The sequence below is a fragment of the Homo sapiens genome, chromosome 15 (genome assembly GCF_000001405.40).
Source record: "Homo sapiens chromosome 15, GRCh38.p14 Primary Assembly".
NCBI classification, from domain to species: domain Eukaryota; kingdom Metazoa; phylum Chordata; class Mammalia; order Primates; family Hominidae; genus Homo; species Homo sapiens.
In genome coordinates, this window is record NC_000015.10 from 98,322,810 (window position 1) to 98,347,837 (window position 25,028).

At 43.0% G+C, this 25,028-nt stretch overlaps 1 long non-coding RNA gene across 2 annotated transcripts in view, besides 1 other annotated feature; it reads right to left on the reverse strand.

Annotated features, from left to right (window-relative positions):
• Window positions 1-623: 623 nt before the first annotated feature.
• The window catches only part of LINC02351 (long intergenic non-protein coding RNA 2351), a 97,566-nt gene continuing 73,161 nt past the window's right edge, over window positions 624-25,028 (reverse strand). Inside the window, exons 1-3 of one of the 2 annotated variants that reach the window (NR_146566.1) lie at window positions 8,512-8,749; window positions 4,545-4,644; window positions 624-1,607 (exon numbers count right to left, since the gene is read on the reverse strand). This is a non-coding gene — a long non-coding RNA (long intergenic non-protein coding RNA 2351). Of the gene's footprint in view, window positions 1,608-4,544; window positions 4,645-8,511; window positions 8,750-25,028 lie in introns of those variants that run through there. The other variant, NR_146567.1, reaches the window with a different exon arrangement.
• Window positions 20,922-21,091: an enhancer, noted in NCBI's record as "experimental_42822 CRE fragment used in MPRA reporter constructs". NCBI's record gives its function as "activates a minimal promoter by MPRAs in K562 erythroleukemia cells, with activity observed for both the introgressed and non-introgressed 15:98887045 variant alleles {active_cell/tissue: K562}" and the evidence as "EXISTENCE:reporter gene assay evidence [ECO:0000049][PMID:34662402]".

Consider the following 25,028-nt stretch of genomic DNA (forward strand, 5'->3'; position numbering starts at 1 on the left):
ACCAAATAACCTTGAGTGTTCGTCACCTGTGTATTACGCAAATGACCCCACAAAAAGAAAAAAAAGTTATTAAAAAGCAACAACAAAAACAAAACAGTATCAGGTATAAACCAAAGAAAACATTCTCATGAAATGGCTCTCTGGGAATTTTCTAACATTTCTTCTTGGCCACCTTCTGAACCCACCCGGGAGAGAGCAGGCCATGAGAACTCACTTGAGATTCAGCAAAAAATAATTAAGAGGTTGTATAATTGACCATATTGCATGTCTCACCTCTGGGGTTGGGGGTCCCCTGGTTCAAGACCCCAAGTGGGATACAAGGTCACACCCAGTGAGGGCCGTTCTCTCACCTCCCTGACCATCCAGGTGGAAATTAAAGATCCCAGGATACTTTTCAAAATAGCGCAGGGGATCACCCAGCTGTCTGGACTAGCAGTCCCCAGTCTCAATAAAATCCAACTTAATGTTCCCGGCTGGGAATGAGCCCTTCTCGAACATAGAGGAAAGTCTGTGCTCATGGACACAATTATGAAACTGTCCTTTGAGCACTGTAATTACTTTATAATTCACAGAGGACTTGAGATACTTGGAGAGTGAAGGATGCTATGAAAACGTCAATTCGATTGTAATTTATAATTGAATTTATCCACAGAGAAACAAGTGGTCACTAAACGAAAGTATCTTCTAGGGAGCAAATTTACAGGTGTAGCTTTTACAACTACCAGTGGCTTAGCTCCAAGAAAATTCAAATTCCAAAGTGATAACTTTCCACAAAAACGTAACTTCAGAGTTGAGTATTTGTATTAATAAAATTCTCACCAAGTAGCATTTTTGTAGCTCAATCCCCCACTAGTTTAATATATACTCAAGTTAGGGGAAATAGACCCAATGTGTAAAGAAGGTGGCCCAAAACAGAGTTTCCATCATCTCCTCCTAGATAATCTTTAAATAACAATGGTTGGATGTTGTGTGTTTTGTATACGAATCAAGAAAGGTAAAACCTACAAACTATATTCATCTTACATTAATTGATTACAAAGAAAATACTGAGAGGTAAACATTAAGAATGTCTTAAAGGGAAACAAATTAATATCAACATTTTATGCAGCAAAGCTCATATGAACAGTCATAAATGACATTGCTAAATTTAAACATTGCATCCATAATCCACCTTTCAGCCCATGATCTGAAAAATATTTCTGTAATATATGGGCAAGCAGAGTTCCAAGAGAAAAGTGTAACCAAAGGATAGGGCAATGTGTTATTTTAAAGTATATAAAAAATTATCACTATATAAAAAATTATCCCAAAACTTACCAACTTGAAACAACAAACATTTACTATATCATCGTTTCTCTGAGTCAAGACTTCAGCAGTGGCCTAGCTGGGACCACAATCAAGTGTTAGCAGAGCATGGTGTCCCATCTCAAGGTTTGACTGAATATGGATCCACTTCCAAGCTCACACACAGAGTTGTTTGCAGGGTTCAGTTCCACACAGGCTGTTGGACTGAGGGCTTCACTTCCTCCTGGACTGTTGGCCAGAGGCCTTCCTCACTTCCCTCCACATGGGCCTCTCCATAGAGCCGCTCACAACATAGCAGTTGTCTTCCTCAATGCAAGAAGCAAAAGAAGACGGTGAGTAACAGGGAAGGAAGGCAGAGCCTTTCTGTACCCTAATCCCAGAAGTGATATCCATCACATTTTTAGTATTCTATTTGCCAGAAATGAGTCATTTGGTTCAGCATAGGAGGTGGTCATACCTTATGTATGACCAGGAGGTGGGGGTCAGTGGGGACCATCTCAGGGGCTGCCTGCCCCAGGTAGGTGCCTGTGTAGTAAAGAATTAACTCTACCCAAAGAGCAGCAATCTAGCCTTTGAATCTCCAAACCCTTGGAATTTCCTGAGTGATAGCAGTGCCTTTGTTATTCATGGTGGACCCCACTTATGCTGATGAGGTGACTCATGGTGGGCCCCTGGAGAGTTTGTGCTCATAGATGACTCAGGGTGAAAGCTGGCCACCTTGAAAGCCCAGTGAGATTAGAAGGTTGGGGCACTGAATCAGGTAATATCAGCTGGTCAAGGATTCCATCAATCATGCCTACATAATGAAACCCCAATAAAAACTCTGGACACTGATATTTGGTGACTGCTATGCTCTGAATGTCCCCCCAAAATTTATGTGTTGAAGTGTAATCACCAATGTGATAGTATTAAGAGGTGGGGCCTTTCGGAGTTGATTCAGGCATAAGGGCAGAGCCCTCATGGATGGAATTAGGATCCTTATAAAAGGGCTTGAAGGAGTGAGTTTGCTCTCTTCTGGTCTTATGCCTTCTGAGGTCACTGAGACAGCATCACCTATGAGGAGTGGGCCCTCACCAGACACTGGCATCTTGAGCTTGGACTTCCCAGTCTCCAGAATTGTGGGAAATAAATATGTGTTCTTTATGTATAGTAAATAGTCTATGATATTTTATTGGAGCAGCACAAAGGGACTAAGACAGTGACCTCCATAGGCTAGCAATGCTGCATATTATCACACTTCAACAACGGGAGGGTAACACATCCCTGAGGACACCGAAGCTTTACCTTTGAGACCCTCTGAGTCTCAAATTCCGTCCCATGTGTCTCTTCCTGTGGCTGGCTCTAATTTGTGTCCTTTTGCTATAATAAAACTGTAATTGTAAGTATGGTGCTTTCCTGCACTCTGTGAGTCATTCTGGCAGTTTATCAAACCTGAGGGAGTCCATGGGAACCCCTAAATTTGTTGTTACCTTGTCTCATGTGAGGATGGCCCTGGGAACTCCCAAACTTGTAAGTGGTGTCAGAAGTCTTGGGCAGACTTGACAGTCTTGGAAGACTGTGCCCTTAACCTTGAGTTTGGCTGACTCCAAGTTAACACCTGAGAGACTTTTGCTGTTCCATTTATTCCAAAAGGAATTAACTATTTGGTTTGTTCATTTGTTTAGGTTTTAGTCTTGCTTCTCTTTTTGAAGACAATTTCCTCAAGAGATATCCTAGATAAGCAAGTGGGGAAACTAGTACCACTTTTTAGAGGACACCAGCCTCATCAAGTGATCATCCCCAGCCTAACAGAACTCCTTCTAGGGCTATGGTAACCACCGGGTTAGTGCAGGAGAGCTGGAAAGTGAACAGGACAATGGCGTACCCTTTATGAAAACCACCAAACACAATAGCAGCTAAATTATTGAAATGTTTGTCAATTTATTGCCACAGTAAATATTTTGAGATTTCTAGCTTGATGTATTCTACTGAGCATATTTTAGACAATATGAATTTTAGATCATTCCTTCATTATACTCCCTCTTTTTAATAAATGTTTACTGAGAGCATTCTATCTGCCAGGCACTGACATAAGTGCTTCCCAGCATGACCTTATTTAATCCACAAAAATTATTCCTGAGGCAGTTGTCTGTTACTTCAGTAACCTTATATTACAGATGAAGAAAATGAAGAGCAAAGAGATTAAGTCCATAAGAAAAATAAAATTCTAAATTCACATTGAAAAGCAAGTGAGCAGATATTCTACCAGTTCTTCTTAGGGTCACCTTTACTTGGAATATAAAATTGACAGGCACTAGACTCTGTTTTTTCATTGCCATAGATTAATCTCTGTAAATTTAATTGATTTTAAAGACAACTGAAATTATGCATGAAAGAAAGGAAAACTATTAATATCTTCTTAGAAAAGGGATTGCAAGCTCAACAGATTCAGGGGCCAGGCAGATAATGTGAGCGAATAAGGGAAGCAGCTGGGTGGGGCCTCAGTGAGCCCAGGAATGCCAGCCCCTCTACAGAATGCAAGAAACACAGGGACCCCATTGCTGCCTGTAGGACCAGTGGCTTTTCAAGAAAAACCCAGGAATCTGAAGTTTAAAACAAAACAAACAAAAAAAAACTTCCTTCTTGTTGGCAACAAGCTCTTTTTTTAAATTCTAAGCTAAACAAAACACACCAGTGGTTCAGAAGTTTGACCTAGGAAAAATAACTAAGAGAACAAATGTTATTTTGGCTCATTTGATCACTGTCAAGAACCAAACCAGGTTATCCTGGCTCCTGGTTGGGGTCAAAATGGCTTGACTGTATGGTGTGGACCACTTCACAAATAAGCTCTTCGCGTTCTAAACTTTGCAGACACGGAGCTGACCAGCTGGAGACAGCTAAGAAAGGAACCATGACGTCATGAGCTCTTGAGGTTGGGAGAAATCATAAAAAGACCTGATCCACTGAAGACATTCCTTCCACACACATCTCTAACAAATAATTATCCAGATTATCCCAGAATCTTCTAAGGGATTAATCTAAGGGATTCTTGAATCTATGGGGATTAATTTGAAGATATCTCATCTCCCTTCTAATGAGCTCCAGTCGTTATGAAATTCTTCCTAATACTGGCTTGAAGTGCGCCCTGCACTCAAGCATCCTAGTTCTCTTCCCTGGGTCCAGCTGACTGTACCAGCCTCTTTGCACATGACAGCCTTTCCCATATTCATAAACACCCTCTACACCAAGATTTATCTTACCTTACAGCCCTTCCAGGTAGAAACTCCTCAGTACTCTAGTCACCCTCTTCTGGGCTAGCTTCATAGTGTAAGTCTTCCCCTTAAAACATTGCACCTAGAACTAAACATGCAGGAAATGAGCTCAAACTGCTTCTCAAAATTAAAAAAAAAAAAAAAAAAAAAAAATCCCACCAAACACGGCCACGCTACAGTTTGCCAATGGGAAGGGCCAACTTAGATATAAATTTGAAGAATTAGAATGAAATAGTCAAATGTCTACTTTAAAATTCGAATTTGGTAATTTAGGAATTAAATTACATATTTATTCTGAATCACACATTCTAATAGAATAGATCAATTTAGAAGCACAGTTTTCTGGCTGGATGTGGTGGCTCATGCCTGTTAATCCCAGCACTTTGGGAGGTGAAGGCAGGAGGATCACCTGAGTTCAGGAGTTGAGGACCAGCCTGGGCACTATAGTGAGACCCCATCTCAACGACCACCACAAAATAAAAACATGGCTTTTCTTTTCTACACACATGTTATCAAAAACATTATTCACTCTTCATTTGCATCATTACATCATCCCTGCCGTCACTGGAGCCACCTTCAGAGTCACATAAATAAAACAGATTTCCAGAACATATCATCTTTAGCTCTAAATTGCTCAAAGTGTAGTATTTTTAAAAAGTTTCGGCCAGGCGTGGTGGCTCACACCCGTAATCCCAGCACTTTGGGAAGCCGAGGCGGGCGGATCACGAGGTCAGGAGATGGAGACCATCCTGGCTAACACGGTGAAACCCCATCTCTACTAAAAATACAAAAAATTAGCCGGGCGTGGTGGCGGGCGCCTGTAGTCCCAGCTACTCGGGAGGCTGAGGCAGGAGAATGGCGTGAACCCGGGAGGCGGAGCCTGCAGTGAGCCGAGATGGCGCCACCGCACTCCAGCCTGGGCGACAGAGCGAGACTCCGTCTCAAAAAAAAAAAAAAAAAAGTTTCACTGAAGTAAAACATACATATACAGAAAAAGGCACAAATCATCCGTGTTTGGCTTATTGATTTTGCTCAAAGTGAGCCAACAGAACGACCCTTGCACTCATTACCAACCAGTGCCCCAGAAGCCCCGCCCTTTTCCTCTTCAGAGGGAAACCAGAACCCTGACTCCTACCACAGCAGTTTAAAGGTGCCTGCTTTTGAATTTTATGTAAGTGTTTTTTGTGTCTAGTTTATTTTAGTCAATATTATGCTCATGAGAGTCATCCATACTGTTTCAAATTGTACTTACACCTGTAGTTCAAGGTTTAAGTTTACATCTGTGTGTGGTGCATTTACTATGTTGTTCCCCCAAGCCACAAGTGCCCATTTGCATAATATTAGGCAGCTGGGCTCTTGAAATTCATCTCATAGGTTTATAGATGTGTGATTTCCATAATATAACCCCTTACTTGTTGGCTTTGTCAAGTGATCTCTAAAAATCAATTAAAAAACTTGTTTAAATCAACATTTTGCATTTAAAACTGTGAGGTCACACACCCAGGAATAATCACTAAATTCATGTGAAATTTCTTTGCCTCCTTTTTTTTTTTAACTAATTCTATCAAGGGGCCTCTGTAAGCCTCAAAACTGGCATTGATTGAGGTCATATGTCTTCATAATACAATATATTCTTGTTTCCTGTAATATGAGAGACTTGTTAGACCTTAAATATAAGGTGGCTTTTTTCCCGATGGATAATTTTTGGTGGAAAAGTTCATCATATATTCAGGCATAAATTGTGTCTCATATTAACCTCTTTATCACTTGGGTTCTAATATTTTCTCTTATTGAGCCCATGATTAGCTAAAATATCCAGATCTTTTGCACATGAGTTCCTATAGAACTATTTATCGCCAGAGTATATTTCTATTTATACTTACACTTTTAACTAAGTATAAATTCCATATTAAGATCATCATATACCTCCATGTACATAATGCTTGGGATTTTTCAAAGCACTTTCGAATGCATTATCACGATAATTCAGTGCAATAGCCCAGGGAATGAATTGTTATGCACATTTTACAGATATGAATGTAATTATCACTGATGGATTTCAACATGTTTGAAGGGATAATGCTGATGTTTTATAAAAGGCTCCTTCAAATGGAAAAGAACACTATCTAGCAAAATCAAAAGTCATGATATTTGAATATTCCCCGAAAAATACAAAAAGTAAGCTAGCACACAGCAAAATAAGATTGTGATAAATAAAAGAAAAGCAAATTCAAATAATAATGAGGACCATTTTAGACTTAGTAAATGAATGAGGCAGAATCCAACAGTGACAAAATTCATTATTTGCTGGTAACACCATAAATTTGTATAATTCATTATTCATAAAATTGTTAAATTCATTATTTGCTGGTAACACCATAAATTTGTATAATTCTTCTTGAAAAGTAACTTGACAATATGTATATTTTAAAAACCAAAAACCAATCCACACCCTTTCGCCAAATATTCCCCTGCATAAAATTTATTCTGGAGGAAATTATTTAGAAGAAGAAAATATGTCATTTGCAGGGAGATGTTCATTGAAGCCTTATTTACAATAATAAGAAAAGGAAACAATGGAAGTTTATTTCAATTTTTTAAATAAAGCTTTGTTCAAATGAATACCATCCAATCTCTCTCTCTCTCTCTCATACACACTCACACATACTATACTTTGCAAATATGGGAGAGAATATTACTGTTTCTGTATTCCTGTTACATCTTGTTCACTCCCAATATTCTCCATATTGTATTTCACACAATACTTTCTCATCTGAATTTTCTTATCTAACCATACAGTTAAGTTTGCATTGGCCCAGGAACAGCCTTTGTGGTGAGGAAAAGGCTAACAGGTGTAACATGATTTTCAAACTGCAAAACCAGATAGGAACTGTGACCCTCTGAATGGAGAGGCTGTGGCTGTGTCTATGCACTTACAAATAAATTTTGTGATGAAAATACATTTGCATGAATCTCCGGATAACCCGAACAATTGCTTATCCAACAGTGCCGCCTCTAAACATTTTGGCAGATCACAGGACGCTCTCCCCAGCAGGCATCTCTCTTGTAGTGTAGAACGCACAGTGGCTCCCTCAATGTCTTGCTGATAGCGGCAGGAGGAGGGGGAGGAAAGACTTCATCTATGTCCTCAGCAAGCATAATCCAAGCCCTTGCCTCCATTAGTCAGTAAATATCATTTAGACTTTTTAACATCAAATTTGATTTTCTTAATTTAGAGGGGAAAATACTCGTTTAGTTCATATATTTCCTGAGATGTGCGGAAAATGTCAGGAGGTGGAAAACCGGGTATTTAAGGGGGTTTTGCACTTTTTAAAAAATCTAGTGCCTTAACTTCCCCTCAAGAGAGACAGGAGAGGCCGCTCAGACCATTGAAACAGTGTGCTCAATGTCAACGTTTGCCTTTCCAAATCCACACGTTTCTGGTCACTTCATGACATGTTTATTGGTCTTGACAGGCAAGGAATAGAACAGGAAACTGCAACCTCGCACCCATCTGACTAGTCTGTGGGCAGACAAGCCTTGGTTTCTGCTTTGTTGAGTTCCACATGGTGGCTAGAGGCCCTCCTGCCATTAACTCCCCTTACATCCGATTCTCTGTAAAATGTGTACCAGCAAGTCCAGGGCAGTTAAATATATGGCTTGGGTAATTAAGCAGGTTACAGATGAATATTATTTGGTCTGCAAACAATTCTGTAAAAGGTTCCAGAGGGTTGTCTCGAGGATTGTAGCTTATTTGTGGGGTTTTGGCAGGAAATGGCTAATTATGACACCTGCCCACGTTTCTGTGCAATTGGAGCCTGGGGATTCTCAACCTTGTGTACACAAGTCAGACTCGCCTTCATGGTGGGGAGCCACACAGCAGAGGACTGAGATCAAGCAGAGCCTTGTTAGCAGCACTATGGAGGAAACAGCTCAGCTCGGGCTAGCAGCTTACCTCTATGCCTTTCCCCAGCAACCAATCCTAGGGTTGCTGGCATCAAAATTAGCCCCTTACATACTCCCTATCCACTGCAGGTCTTCTGAAGGTGCACTAGTTCTTCGTGAAAACATTACTTCTTAGACTGGGCATTATTGGAGAGCAATTTCTCTGTCCTCCAAGGTTGGGAATTCCACTGACGGCATCTGGGAACCCTCTGTAAACCTGCAAGCAGAATTGGCAATGGGTATAAGCATGGAGAGAGATCCATAGCTTTTATCTGTTTCTCAAAGATAACAGATGGTGACTTTGCCTGATGTCGATGCTCCAATCTCAGAGCAGTGTGGGATCAGTTGAACGAGTTTAGGAAACGGAATGTGCCAAAACCACAGGCTGGCCAGCTGGAGCTCTCTCCTCTTCTTCCTCTGGGCATCCAGCTGACCCCAATTTCCAGCAGCTTCTGCTGGTAGGTGTGGCCATGTGGCTGAGTCCTAACCGAAGGAATATGAAAAGGAAGATGGCGCCTGTTCTGGCCAAGGCTTTTAACAGGTGACTGCCCCTCCTACAAATCCTTTCTCCTTTCACCAGTTCATGTAGAGGATGACAAGGGGGTAGGAGACAGTAGAACCATACGTCAAAAGGAGCTTGGATTCCTGAGTCACTGTATGGAAGAAAGCTTCCCACCAACCAGGAACAGCTGCCTCAGACCGTGGAACACAAAAGTAAACTTCTCTTGTGTTGAACAATTCATTGTACACATGTATACAGACTAGGCTAGTCTACTGTAAGAGAGGGAGCAGCCTGGTCGTATTTGCATTTTAGAATGGGCTTCACGTTTCGAATATGTTTTTTGTGATGAAGAGAAACATCAGGATTTCACTGTACTGCAATGCTTTTGTATTATCACTTTTCAAAGTGCCCGACACATCCTGCCATTCCCACAGCACCCAAATCTTAGACAACAAAAAGAGCATTTTATTTATAGATCAGCTGCTGGGTCATCTCCTTCAGACTCATACACAAGGGCACAAAGTCTTCCGATATTACTTCCGTAAGTATGACATCCAATTTTTCCTTGAATATCTCTAGTTCTAGAGTCTTGACAACTTCCTGAGTGAAATTATTCTACTGCCTGATTGACCTTCATGGTCCAGAATTTTTTTTCCCCCACTTCAGACTTTAGTTTTCTTTCTTCTGGCTTCACCAAGTAATTGGCCAGACCCAGGTTAATAAAATCACTCCATAGTGAAAACCCGAAACACAGAGGTAAATGACTCAAATTAGCCTTTATTAAGTACTCCCTAGGTGTGATCTCCTTCAATCCTCATACTAATCCTCCATTTGACAGGCTCTGAGATTTTAAATAACCCACCCATTATCACAACACAAAGGATGGAACTATGGCAGGCCTAGATCCTCATGGGCTCACAGCCCAGCCCAGCCCAGCCCATTCTAATTGGCTGTCTAGGACTCAGCTAATAGAAGCATTTCGTCACTGATTCATGCTCAAGTTCCTCAGTCATTTGGGGAAATAAAACCTTGAGTTCACTGAGTATTTTTACTTTGGTGAAGTCCACTACCCAGAGCCAAAACAATTATGTTTTAAAAAGTATTCTAATTCCCTTGAAAGAGACCCAGCAGAAATTTGTGTAGACAGGAGGTATACAGAGACAGTGGATTTGAGAAAATCACTTTCTCATTGCTCAGAATGAGCTTCCAGAACTGATTAGAAAACATTCCCTCTGAAAAGGAACTGGGGAATTTGGGAAATGTTATATTGGTGTTGGTCAGGTCCCTCTGCTCATGCATTGAAGATCTTAGACTAGGGGCCTGGGTGTCTCCTGTCTCTCCTCTTCATTGCCTGCCCTTGCATAAATGGGAGAAAGGGTCCCCAGCCCCTCCATCTCATCCTGGTCCTCCTGTAATTTTTGTTCAGTTGTATGCAGAGGGACTTTGCAGGGGGAGCAGAGGGATCAGACCTTTCTGAGCCAAGGCAGAGGCATCCCCAGCCACACTGGTCAGGTCAGAGGCATGGGGTCTGCAAGGGCAGGGCAGCCCCAAGCCGGCCGCAGCCGCAGCATGTCCATGTCAAGCTCATCACCAGGACTGGGTAATGAGGTCAATGTGAAAACAACTGGAAGGCACGTTCCCCAGGAAACATAAGCAGAGTGGAAACAGCCTGACCTTATGTTGCAGAATCCAAACCTATTGAGTCAATTGCCGGGAAACATGACATAACCTTTGAGATGCAGTGAACATCGCTGAGAGAGCAGGCTACCCTGCTCTTTTCCATTTGCTGCCCCCGAGGCAGCAAGTCACTGGAAATAATAGCCCTGGTTCCAAATCTGTGCTTCTTTGATGAAACACACATGCACAGCATCAAGCTTGACACTGGGGCAGACATGTGTGCATGTGCTTGTGTGTGCATACAGGCACACGTATATATATATATACTGTGTATATGCTTTTATTTATCTGTTAAGTCCCTTTCAACTTAATGTTTCATGTTCTATAATAGAATATGGTATCATTGTAGCTTTATATTTTAAATAGAAGTCTTTGGGACCCAGTGCATATTTTTGAGTGAGAAAGTAATCTTTACAGCCTCATTCGCAACAGCAGCCAGCAGCTCCCTCTTTGAGATCAATTAACAAAGCTACTTGCCCCTCCAACAATGACCCAGCCCTGAAATAAAACCAATAAATCCTGCTTTTCTGCTTTCTAATGTCCTCCTATCTTTTCCACAGCTTGTTAGAATCTGAACACAGAGCTTGTTCTTCATGATTAGCAATTGCAAGTTAAAGGAAGGGACACTGCTCTTCCTGCAGAAAAACTGTTAAGTCTGGTTTTTGGGGTTCAAACTTCAAGCCAGGAATGCTTGACTTGGAAGCCAGTTTGACGGATAAGCAGGAAAAACAGCTCTAAATTCTCTGATGAGAAAGCTCCTTTGATGAAATGTTAGACAAGGGCCCACTGCATGTCACCATAAGCCCCTCTGAAGACTTCACAATCATCCACAGAGCTAAACATTTTAACAGAAAAAAAATTCTTGCTGAGAAATGGAAAATGCTAGCGCTTTACTAAGAGTCTGAAAAATATGATCCTATTTTTTAAAAAAGAAACTTGGGGTGAGGGTGGGGGTCCCAATGGGTAATTCGTACAATATTTCATCCTTGTTGCTGAGGACAAGTTGTGGCATCATGAGTAGGCTGGCTAAACCTGGGTTAATTACATGGATATGGCATATATTGAGTTCCCAAAAGGATAATGTATGCCAAGATTGTTCTTCTCATATTCTGTGCTCTACTTAAACTTGGAATGACAAATAGGGGAGCTGGGAGGGCTCCCGGGAGCTATGAAATATATTCCCTGTAGATTACAGAATACTTTGAGCAATCATTAGAAAATGTAATCACTACTTTATCATATAAAACTGTTTCTCACTGCTGGAGGCTGATTTTTGTAGGTTTAATATAGCTCTAGGTCATGCTTTATGGATCGCTCTGCAGAAATGCTTTGTTGGAAGTCTCCATCAAGGTTAGCTTAGCCATGAGGAGGCTGGGGAGCCTGGGCAGGAGGGTGGCCCTCCTTCCCACAGAGCTGGAGGATCATAATTCTTGGGCCCCTTGAGAAGACTGAACTTTGGAGATATTCCCAGTGGAGAAGTCCTACAGGTCCTACTTTCTGTAGGTAAGCCCCATGAAATTTATCACATCAGCAAGTAATGGAATAGTCATGTGGAGTGAAAGTTGCCCTTGAAAATCCCTTAGGTAGCTTGTTAAGCCAAGCAACAGTAATCATGATAACACCTAGCACTTAGTAAGAGCTTACTGTGACCTGCACTATTCTAGCCTTGAGATGTAGGTATGATGACTAGTTCCCTCTTATAGATGTGGGAAACTGAGGCACAGAATGAGTTAGTGACACTCACCCAAGGTCACAGAGCCACTCAGTGGTGGAGCCAGGGTTTGGACGCTGGAAGTCTGGCTCCAGAGCCCTTGCTTGTTAGTACATGTGGCTTGGTATACAGTACCCAGTCTGTTACTGTGCATAAAAATTGAATGTCTGATGAACTATGAAGAGTGACGACTAATCCTGCATGTCTTCCAGTGATGCATCTTTCTCTTCCCAATAATACCACTGAAATTGTCATTTTCCTCTTGTAGTTGGAACTGATCCAATTGTCCCATAGAGGTGATGTTTACAGTTTCTTTGAATAAACATAGAAATTAATGCTTCCAGTCTTAAAACTTGAGAAAGCTACATTTGTCTTATCTAAGTTCCTTTTTCAGGAAACCAACCATCAGGCCTCCCAGATAGTATCAAGGAGCTGAAATTCACCGGATCACTGTCAGACCACTCACCCATCATGACTGCCTAACTGCCCACCTGCTTCCTGTCGACCAACTTCTCTTCCTTACCCCTCCCTAATTCCTGTTTTCCTACACATGGTTACATTGCTTCCCTGCTATATAAACCCCTAACTTTAGTCAGCCTGGGAGATGGATTTGAAACTGAGCTACCATCTCCTCGGCCGCAGCACCCAGTCAAAGCCTTCTTCCTTGGCAATATTTATTGTCTCAGTGGTTGGCTTTCTGTGTAGCAAGCAGCGGCACCTAGACCAAACTCTGGTGTTTCAGTGACATAGGGAGCTTATACAGTTGAACTTAAGTTAGGTGTTCATCCGATGTGATTCCACTGTGTGTGATGTGATTTTATTCAGTCGGGAATAATAGAATAGAAGTGGAGACTGCCTAGCAAGAGCTACATCCTTTTTCAAATTGAGACAGTGCATGAGCAAAAACCTAAACCTGGGATCAGAGACATAAAACATTTATGCCTGCCAAGAACAACCAAAGATACATTTAAGAACTTCTTCCAGCCAGGCGCAGTGGCTCACACCTGAAATCCCAGCACTTTGGGAGGCCAATGTGGGCAGATCATCTGAGGTCAGGAGTTCGAGACCAGCCTAGGCAACATGGTGAAACCCCATCTCTACTAAAAATACAAAAATTAGCCAAGCGTGATGGCACTTGCCTGTAATCCCAGCTACTTGGGAGGCTAAGGCAGGAGAATCGCTTGAACCCAGGAGGCGGAGGTTGCAGTGAGCTGAGATTGTGCCACTGCACTCCAGCCTGGGCGACAGAGTGAGACTTTGTCTCAAAAAAAAAAAAAAAGAACTTCTTCCTTCATAGACTTAAATAGCTAATTAATTCTACAAAAAGGCTTGTTGGTCAATGGGAAAGATATGCTGTGATTCTGGAACATTTCTGGGAGAGAATGGGGTGGCATCGCCTCTAACAGATTCACCACACAGCAGTGCCATACCCTTCGGCCTTAAAGGCACACAGTCCTGATTTTGTCGGCCCTCATATTTTGTCTACCAAGGGCCAGCTCACCATAATTAAATTAATAGAGACTAATATATAAGCCAATGCCTATGAATTAATGGCCTTGGTTTGACTGGACTATTTCTTGGTCATAGCCAGCAGATTCCCACCACTTAGGAAAGAATAGTAAATCAAATTACAATCAGAAAGGGGCTTGAAGAACATTAAATCAGAACCACAACATGTACTAGATCTGAAGACTGCAGCACTGATGAAGTGCTTGAGGGACTTTTCTCCATCATGCAAATAACTTTACCAAAGAATATCACCTTAAACTCCTGCCTCCCAGTCCACAGCCTGACCACCCTGAGACCTGATTTCCTCCCTGCTGTATATATCATCCCCATCAATCACCAGAGTGGAAATAACTTGCATACAAAGCTTTAATACCTACTGGGGTTGCAAATATACTCACACTACATTCAGATGTGCAGACAAAATGTGCTTAATATACTTTCTTCCTGGATAGCAGAAAAACATACATGTGCCAATTAAGCATTCTTCTGTCTCTTCAGGTTCGAATAATCTACTTTTGTTTAAATAGCCAGTCTATGCAAAGTTCAGCCCTCAAGCAAGGAGGCTTTTTTGCCGTCTCCCTTGGCAAATGTTCATCCTCTTCCCTAAGATGGTGCCAGAAGGTGCCAGAAGGTGTGAGGGGAGCTCACTGTGTCTTCCCAGGCATGGAGATGGAAGGAGGAGAGAAGGTCCTTGGATCTATGGCGTCCTCTGGATCTTCCTTGGTCTCTGCTACTGAGTGGCTGGACAGCTGATCATCATCATATCCGTGGTCTCCAGAGTGTGGCTTTTTGTCCTCAACACGAGGAACCTCCCCTCAAGAGTCCATGGTTAGGGCCAACTACCACCAGGCTCAAAGGCCCAGCCACAGGCCTACACCTTCCACCACTGGGGAACAAGGATCTTTGCATCCCACACTCCACCACGTTCAAGCCAACCTCACTGATCTAGCCCGCTCCTGCCAACACTGCTGTACTATCAACATGTGTCATGTCGGAGTGACAGAGGACAGGCATTTTCTTAGAAGACAAGGCAGGCAAGCATGCGAGTGGTCCCATCTTTTGGGAGACCTCCTCTGTACCTCTCCGGATGTTTCCAAAGCACTGCTGCCACTCCCCAGAGGTCGTTCTCTGACTCTATCCTTCTTTACCACATGCTTCACTAAGCCAGAAGAGCCAAGCTCGGGCTTTCCCACCTCTAGGGCCATGAAACTCATGCCCCAGCCTTCATAAGTGAAGGAGGCCCTTCCTCACAGTATAGGAAAACTATGCGACCTGAGGCATCCAAACTTGGTGCTAATTCCACTTAAGAATTTGAAAAAGCCTTTTTCCTCCAACAACGCCAAGAGCAGCAAACCCAAATCTAATGTGAAGGGCAAATCTGAGCAGCGACGTATTCTAATAGGGACCCACGCTTCCCCTGCACACCTGAGAGCCGTTGCTCAGCATGTAGGAAGAACAGTATTACAGAATAAGAAATTACAAAATATAGAATAAGAAAACTGTTCCACATTCAGCAATGGCGTGTTTGGTAGTGCCTGCAGCTTGGATCTTTAGAAGTCTAGCATAATTAGACCATAATGCAAGGTGAGACTATTAGGGGGTTTTCTGGAGCCCTTGCCATATGCCAGGTACTAAATGAGGTTATTCGTATCATTTCATTTAACTCATCAACAACCCTAAAAGGTAGATATTATTATTACCCATTTTATGAATGAGGAGACTGGGAGCTCGCCCAAAATCTTACCTTTTAGAAAGTGGTAGTGCTTTGTGAGCCCAGGTCTGTCTGTGTCTGACCCATGTGCTCTTGCCACCACGTGAAGATGCCTTTTCATGGGATCATCCTCTCTTTCCTTCGAGTTCCCAATAACCAAACAACTAATAAACGAATCAAGGCCGACTGCATTTGAACTTCTGACTGTTTTCCAACCAATCTGACAGAGAACCAATTTAAATACAACACGCCCTGGGCAAATGTTTCAGATCAGCACAGGCAGTCACTGCCTATGCCCTGCACGTCTGTCTCCACTGCTGTGCCAATGGGCTGGGGGCACCCCGCAGGGCTGACTTCCATGAGCTGGAAGGAGGAGAACTCACGGAGTTATTTGTCATGCTTTCCTTACCGTGCAGTGCACACAAGCATGATTTACGAAAGCCCGTAATTAACATGTTCATTCTGAAAGAACAAATTCTACACCCTGAGAATATGGAGCTCCCACAACACATCAAGATAATCCAGGGGACACTGGAAAGCTCACCATAAGGAAGAGGAAAATGAAATGGGGCTGGAGAGTTCTGATTGGCCCCAGGCCAGGGAAACCCTCAGGTTGGAGCAGGTGCCGTCAGAGGCCCAGTTGCAGAGATGACTGCCCAGGATACCAGGCTCAGTGTGGGACTTGGAGCAGCAAGGGCCAAAATACGTGCAGCAGCCAAGATGGATCCAGACTGGGCAGAGGAGCTGGGAAGAATACAGGCAGGGGCAGCAGGAGGTGGGCCTCAGAAAACCACCCTAGGATGGCCTGTGACCTGCAAGCATAGGCAGAAACAAATGCACTGGAGACGGGGATGGAAACATTGGCTCTCTAGTCAGCCACAGAGGAAGAGAAGCTCTCCATGCCCATTCCCCCTTCCCCATGGCCAGGGTCTCTACCCCTGTCCCAGGATCCAGGGCCTGCGGAGGGAGTCTACACTCCCCACATCCAGGATAAAGAAGCCAGACAACCGGGCCCTGCATCTTCCCAGGACATCTTTGGGTGACAAGTCTGGGAAAATGCTCCCCATGTCATTCCTAGATCCCTTTAGCCAGCTTGCTTTTACAGAGGACCAGTCCCCCCGTACGTCAAGAATAGCAGCAGCTCTGTTTTCGCTTCTTGTGGTTGCTATAACAAAGTACCCCAAGCTGGGTGGCTTAAAACAACACATTTATTCTCTTCCAGTTCTGGAAGTCAGTTGTCCAGAAGGAGTCTTGTGGGGCTAAAATCAACATATAAGCAGAGTCATGTTCCTATTTGGAGGTTCTAGGGGAGAATCTGTGTCCTTGACTTTTCCAGCGTCCAGAGGCCTTCTGGCTCCCTTGGCTTGTGGCCCCTTCCACCCTCTTCAAAGCCAGCTTCCTGACTCCCGTTTATAAAGACCTTTGTGATTACATTGGACCCACCCATATAATCCAAGATAATCTCCCCATCTCAAGATTCTTAACTGAATCACATCTACAAGGTCCCTTTTGCCATGTAAGGTAATTACACTCACAGGTTCTGGAAATTAGGATGTGGACATCTTTGGGAGGTGTTATTCATCCTACCAGATGCTCTTAAAATTTCTTTTCTATTATTTTGTTAATTTTTCTTCTATCTGCAAGGTCCCTTTTACCATGTAAGGTAATTATATTCACAGGTTCTGGGAATTAGGATGTGGACATCCTTGGGAGGCATTATTCATCCTACCAGATGCTGTTACGATTTCTTTTCTATTTTGTTAATTTTTTCTTCAATACAGCAGGTACAGTCAAGTGCCTAAATCTTTACTGTGAAGCTCCATCACTGTCCATATTTCCCTGTGGGGAGGAGCCTCTGAGACAGAGATTTGCCTTCTGGTGGTTGACGGGGGAGTGCTCCCAGATTGACATCTGGCTGACTTCACAAGAGTACAACCTGTGCCACAGTCCTGGGTCGTGCACGTAGAAGGGCCCTCACTTCACCTAGAGCTCTGTTGTCAACATTTTGGAATTCTTCAGAATGTATGAATGGAGGCCCACATTTTTATTTTGCATTGAGCTCTGCAAAGCAGGTAGCCAACCTTACCTATTAGGCAATAAAGCAGCAACACACGACAGAGAGAAGAGCTGGGCTGCAATGCAGTCATGAGAAAGGCTTCGACTGATCCTGTAAGAGCTCCAGAACTGGGATGGCCCTGGAGAGGTGCCTTAACTGGCACAGGCTCAGGTCTTTACCTCCAAAGGTTAAGTCTCTGCATGCTGGCTATTCTCGGGGAGGAACATAACCAAGGGCAATTCCTAGAGATGAACTCAGTCGAGAGCCCTGTGATGTCAACATTCCCAGCGGTGGAGGCATGAGTGCCCGGGTCCTACAGGGGTAGACTGAGTAGTATGCACAGCATCCAGTATGAGCTCAATGAATACTAACTCACATCTCCATCTATGTAATCACCACATATAGAATAGTTTTGGCCGGGCGCAGTGGCTCACGCCTGTAATCCCAACACTTTGGGAGGCCAACGTGGGCGGATCACGAGGTCAGGAGTTCAAGACCTGCCTGAACAACATGATAAGACCCCCGTCTCTACTAAAAATACAAAAATTAGCTGGGCGTGGTGGCACGCGCCTGTAGTCCCAGCTACTCAGGAGACTGAGGCAGGAGAATCACTTGAACCTGGGAGCGAAGGTTGCAGTGAGCTGAGATCGCACCACTACACTCCAGCCTGGGTGACAGAGCAAGACGCCATATCAAAAAAAAAAAAAAAAAGAATACTTTCAGCACCCAACAGGCTCCTTGTGCTCCATCCTGGTCCACAACTGTCCTCACAGAGATAAATACTGATCCAGTTTCTATCATCATACATCAGCCGTGCAGTTCTTGAACCTCACATCAATGGATTCTTTTGGATCTTGCTTGTTTTACCCATTCATGCATGCTCTGGTATATTTCAGTAATTCTTGTTGTTTTGCTATATAATATTTATCCATTCTCCTGAGGATAGACCTTTGGGATATCTCCAATTGTAGATGAATATCAGAAAAGCAGCTGTGAGCACTCTTGTACCTGCCTGTCAGTCATTTCTCTTGGGTGTAGACGTAGGAATGGGAATTGTTGCATTATAGGGTAAGCGTGTGATTAGCTTTACTGGATACAGCCAACCTGTTTTCCAATTCAAAGTCCTACACACTTTTATTTTAAGTAGATTCTGGCTAGATAGAAAAGCAACTTAGAAAAAACATAATTGATTAATGCAGAGGAAAAAGCCACCATCAGTCCACATATATAACCACGATAGATGTGAGTTTAGCTGCAGTTTATAGGCTTATACAAATTTTTTTGGCTGATTGGGACACCTGGGAAGATGGGATGGTCTACCCTAAATATTCTCTGAATAGAGCATGTATTCAGCACTAGAGGCCTCAGACACTCTCCTGTTGATAGATTTCTATTGAAGGCTCAGGAAAATCCCAGGAAAGGGCAAAGGGCTGGACTTTTGTTCAAGGTACCCTTAATAAACATGCTTGGATTGAACTGATCCACACAATGAGAACTGTGTTAACAAATCAGGAGGGGTCTGGGGGGACCTCTTTGCTCTCTGTAGACAATAGAATGGCTGAGAACTGGGCCTGCGACTGATAACACTCGTCTCTTCACAAGAGGCGTGGATGTGGCCTAAGTTTACTCTTCTGTAAAATTGGAATAGGAAAAGCCCCTTCACAAGATTTTAGTGAAGATTCGATGAAATATTGTTTATGAAAGGGCTTACAAATGATAAAGTGCAACATAAATCCCAAGTGTTTATGATTAGCTATTTTCCTGTGCCACTTTTCCTAACAGAGGCTAGGTGCCAGGTGCACAACACGAGGTCCTAAGAAAAGCAGGTGGTCCCTGGACTCCAGGAGATGAAAATACAGTGCAAAAGCCATTCTCCACCCCTTGCAATGGTTTTGTTGAAAAAGTTTATTCCAAATAAATTCTTTAAAAGTTTTCTTCCATGAAAATGCATTCTTCCCACTGAAATAATCTTATAAATCCCATTTGGGTGCCCAGAGGAGTCACACAATATAACACACCTTTCTCCTGGCTTACAGATTCTCATGTAACATACAATAACAACAGTGTCAATTGTGTATTTCTCCAACTCAAAGGTCACATTATAAGTATAGGGTAAGAGGGGCCAGATGCGGTGGCTCACACCTGTAATCCCAGGACTTTGGGAGGCCGAGGTGGGTGCATCATTTGAGGTCAGGAGTTCGAGACCAGCTGGGCCAACATGATGAAACCCTGCCTCTACTAAAAATACAAAAAATAGCTGGGCGTGGTGACGCACACCTGTAATTCCAGCTACTCAGGAGGCTGAGGCAGGTGAATCACTTGAACCCAGGCGGCAGAGGTTGCAGTGAGCCAAGATGGCACCACTGCACTCCAACCTGGGTGACAGAGGGAGACTCCATCTCAAAAAAAAAAAAAAAAAAAAAAAAAAAAAAGTATAGGGTAAGAGGGAAGGGAACACTGGAGGCAGAAAGAGCAGCAGACAGAAAAAAAAATGATAATGCAGGGCTGACAGAACTGACAAAGATGTTCAGGAAAGCAGCATGGAGATGTTTCGTGTGAGAACATCTGGATAATGCCGGAAGAAATTGCAATGCCCTACCACTCAGGTTCATGACAACTTTGAGTCATGAAGAAAACATGACGTCATATTCATTTCATGAAGTGGTGGAAAATGTATCACCCTTATTGGGAAATCTTTTCATCCAAAATACTTTGTAAAATATTTAAAGCAAAAACAAACAAACAAACAAAAATCTATAAGAGGTTTAAATACAATATATTTACTGAATATAGGGTGACTTGAAAAGTCCATTGCTGTGGCATAAACATCTCATCACCTAAATACAGCAACACTAAATAAAAATAGTTCTGGGAACACAGCTCAGATTATGTATGCCTTTAATCACATTTTCTACTATTTCCCAAAGTGATAAGGAAGAAACTGATCAGAAATTCTTCATGTGAGAAAAATACAGACAAAATGAGTCCAATCACATGCAGAGGTTCTTTCACTTCCTACATTATTTACTGAGGCATAAATATATTATGCATTTTATGCTGTTATCTTAATTCTTGAAACTTAGAAAGAAAAGAATTTGAAGCTTTTCCATATAGAGGAGACAGAAAAACATACACAGTAATAACCATAAATTTTGAAGCATGTGGATAAATGGAATGCTGATGCATTGAAATAAAAATCTACAATAATGTGACATTAAAACAAATACACCCTCCTACACAATAGAACCGGGGTCTCAGGGTTCCATTCATGTGAAAGGATCAGCAGATTTCTGCTCCATAATAATAACTGTTATTATTATTTATTAAGCGCCCAACACATAGTGGATGCCTGAGGCACCATCCATAAATGAAAAAGATTCTTTTTTTAAAAAGTCAGTGCTTGAAGGCCTTATGAAATAAGAGGATTCTATATCCAATATAGGAAAGATTGTAATGGAAGCAATGTGCTTTTCCCATGTGTTTCATTTTATGGCTCCAATCAAAACCAAGGAAGATTTTGTCCTTCTGGCCTTGAGAAAAAGCATCCATCATGAATGCCTACAGGAACACAAGACTATAGGGGAGTTATCATCAACCCACTGGAGCTTTGAATATACATGTAAGCTCCACCCTCATTTATAACAAGTACCTATTCACAATAGTAAATATTAAGAATGAATCACATATCAAAAACACAGCTGAATACTGGCTGGGCGTGGTGGCTCACACCTGTAATCCACACTTTGGGAGGCCAAGGCAGGTGGATCACTTGAGGTCAGGAGTTCGAGACCAGCCTGGCCAACATGGTGAAACCCCGTCTCTACTTAAAAAATACAAAAAATTAACTGGGCATGGTAGCAAGTACCTGTAATCCCAGCTACTCAGGAGGCTGAGGCAGGAGTGAATCTGGGAGGTCGAGGTTGCAGTGAGCCGAGATCATGCCACTGCACTCCAGCCTGGGTGACAGAGTGAGACCCTGTCTCAAAAAAAAAAAAAAAAAAAAAAATATATATATATATATATATATATATATACACACACACAAATAAAGACTCCACTGATTTTTTAAAATCAGAACAATGTGCTAATATTTTAGCTGGGTCTATATAACTAAAACAGGTCATCAGTTTGGTCAATTCAACTGAGTAACCAATCAAGTTAACAAATATATCAATTCTAGCTTGCTTTTTAGATGAAAAAGATCTGGCAGCATGCAAGAAAGATGGATGGATGGCGGATGGATGGATGGATGGATGGATGGATGGATGGTGGCTGGGTGGATGGATGGATGGATGGATTGATGGATAGTGGATGGATGGAGGATGGATGGGTGATGGATGGATGGATGGATGGATGGATGGATGGATGGATGGATGGTGGATGAATGGATGGATGGTGGATGGATGGATGGATGGATGGATGGATGGATGGATGGATGGATGGGTGGATGGGTGGGAGGTGGGTGGATGGATATGCGAATTGAGAACAACAGAGAAAGAGAGAGAAGGTGAGAGAGGAATTCTTGCTGATATGATCTGTTTCAAACCCCTTCCTAACTATAGGCTCCAGATTTTAGCTATCTTCAGTAGGACTCATGTCAGCCCCAGCTGAGCTCCATTTCTGGGAAATGTCATCTTTCTGGCTTTCCCCCCATGGTCAAAAGCCATTTAGGATGCTGTGATTATGTGCTTGTCTTGAATTCTCCTAAAGGAAAATGATTTTGTTCAATTTCGTGAATGCAGAGTGCATCAACTTTGCCAACTATTTGGAAGTGAAGAACAATATAATGTGGAAATAGTGAGATACCCTAAAATTTGATTAAATGCACGTATACTGGATGACCTCAAACATCTCTTCAAGCAACCTATCTAAGGGATATACTGTAAGCTGGTGATGGATGGGTATTTGAGAAGCCCCAGAGTACTAAACAAAAGATGAGTACATACCTAATGCCAAAGTCCAGCTATGGAAACATGTAGAAGACATGCCATAAAATAATGTGAACATGGCCGGGCACAGTGACTCATGCTTGTAATTCCAGCACTTTGGGAGGTCAAGGTGGGCAGATCACGAGGTCAAGAGAGCAAGACCATCCTGGCCAACATGGTGAAACCCCATCTCTACTAAAAATATAAAAGTTACCTGGGCGTGGTGGCGTGCACCTGTAGTCCCAGCTACTAAGGAGGCTGAGGCAGGAGAATCACTTGAACCCAGGAGGTGGAGGTTGCAGTGAGCTGAGATGGTGCCACTGCACTCCAGCCTGGTGACAGAGCAAAATTCCATCTCTAATAATAATAATAATGTGAACATCACTGATTATTTCCTCCTTGTATAGTGAACTAATTATCTCACAAAGTATCATTATTATTCTCATCTCACAAATGAGGAAACTGAGGTAAAGAGGTTAGTTAACTTCCCCAAGAATACACAGGCAAATAAGAGCTGGAGCCAAGATTCAAACCTAAGCTGTCATCAGGGTCTACACATCACCTCACTAACAAAGAGGCAGTGCCATTAGAAGATACATAGGCAGCCTAGCAGGTAGAACAAGGGACATCAGGGGGTCCTGGGCAGTGCCCGTGGAGCACTGATGAGAGAGACCTCACAGGGGAGAGGTCTCCTGACCAACAACAATCCCGCCTCACGGATCCTGCTGAAACTTCCCATCACCCTCCCTGGCCTCTTGCCCACCCCAATCTACCCTGGAAACTGTGCCCCCACAAATCATTCCAGAATACCTGCACACCAAGTCACTCTCTTGTTCTGGAATCTACAATGGATGCTGGGATCTAAAATGAATCTAATTCAGTCTTTATCCTGATGCTGAAGGATGTCTCCTGCATGCTCAGCTTTCTCCCAGACACCCAGCCTCATCTGCCTCTGCCACCCCTGCTGCCCCCAGACTCATTCTCCCCTCACTACCAGGATGCCCTCCTCCCTCCCCCGAGCCCATCAGACACTCCCAGCCCTTCCAGCTCACCTCTACTCCAACTTCCTTCTTGGTGATGTGCCCCTTTCTGACCTCTCCTGACACTGACTTTGGCATTTGAATTCCTTGGTACGTTCACTTAATGCACTATGGTTGGTATTTTAGTCCATCCGGGCTGCTATAACAAAACACCATAGACTGAATGGCTTATAAACTGTGGACATCTATTTCTCACAGTTCTGGAGGCTGGAACGTCCGAGATCAAGACATCATTATGGCTGGGTTTTGGTGAAGTCTCTCTCCTTGGGTTGCAGACAGCTGCCTTCTCACTGTGCTCACATGGTGGAAGGAGAGAGAGGGCGATCTCTGGTGTCTCTTTTTATAACAACACTAATCCCATTATGAAGATTCCACCCTTGTGACCTAACTGCCTCCGAAAGGCCCCCAACTCCAAATATCATCACTTGGGTGTGATTATTTTAACATTTGTAATGGGGTAGGGGGACAATGGTACAAAAACATACAGACCATAGAAACTGGAAATCTTCCAATTCAGGGTCTAAAGTGGACATGCTTTTCATTAGTGCTGAGTAACAAACTACCCCCAAAATTTAGTAGCTTAAAACCATGATAATTATTTACTTTGCTCACAAATCTGCAATTTGGGAAGGATTTAGCTGGGTTGTCTCTTCTCTGCTCCACGAAGCAAGAACTGAGGCAGCTTTGGAAAGGATGCACTTTCAGGACAGCTCACTCACACAGGCGTTGTGGTAAAGCTGCATGCCAGCTGGGAGCTCAGCCAGGGATGTCGGCCAGGGGCCTTATTTCCTCCGCACATGAGCCTATCCATGGGCTACGTGGGCTTCCTCACAGCAGGCCATGCTGACTGGATTCCAAAAGCAAGCACCTCAAAAGGACGAGTTTGTAAGCTGTGTCACCATTTATGTCCCAGCCTCAGAGGTCACACAGCATCTCTCCCACCATAATCACGAGCCCACCTACATGCAAGGGGAAGGAATATAGACCCCATCTCTTATTGGGAAGAGTGTCAACATTACATCGCAAGAAGAGCAGGTTACAGCCATTTTTGGAGAATACAACCAGCCACGGTTAGGCCCGGAGATCAACAAGGACACCCAAGCAACAGACTCAGCTACTGCTTCATGGAGCAAACAGAATGAATTCTTCCCAAACCAGCTGAATTCTTCCCAAATTGCAGGTTTGTGAGCAAAATTAATAATTATTGTGGTTTTAAGCTACTAAATTGGGGGTAGTTTGTTACTCAGCAATAATAACCAGCATGTCCTCACAGTGCTCATGGATTTGGAGAGGAGAAAGATAGCTAAACTGATATAGCCAGTATGAGATAGTGTCTAACTATTTTTTGAGCACTTTGTATGCATCAGACATCGTGCTAAGCCCATTTCATGTA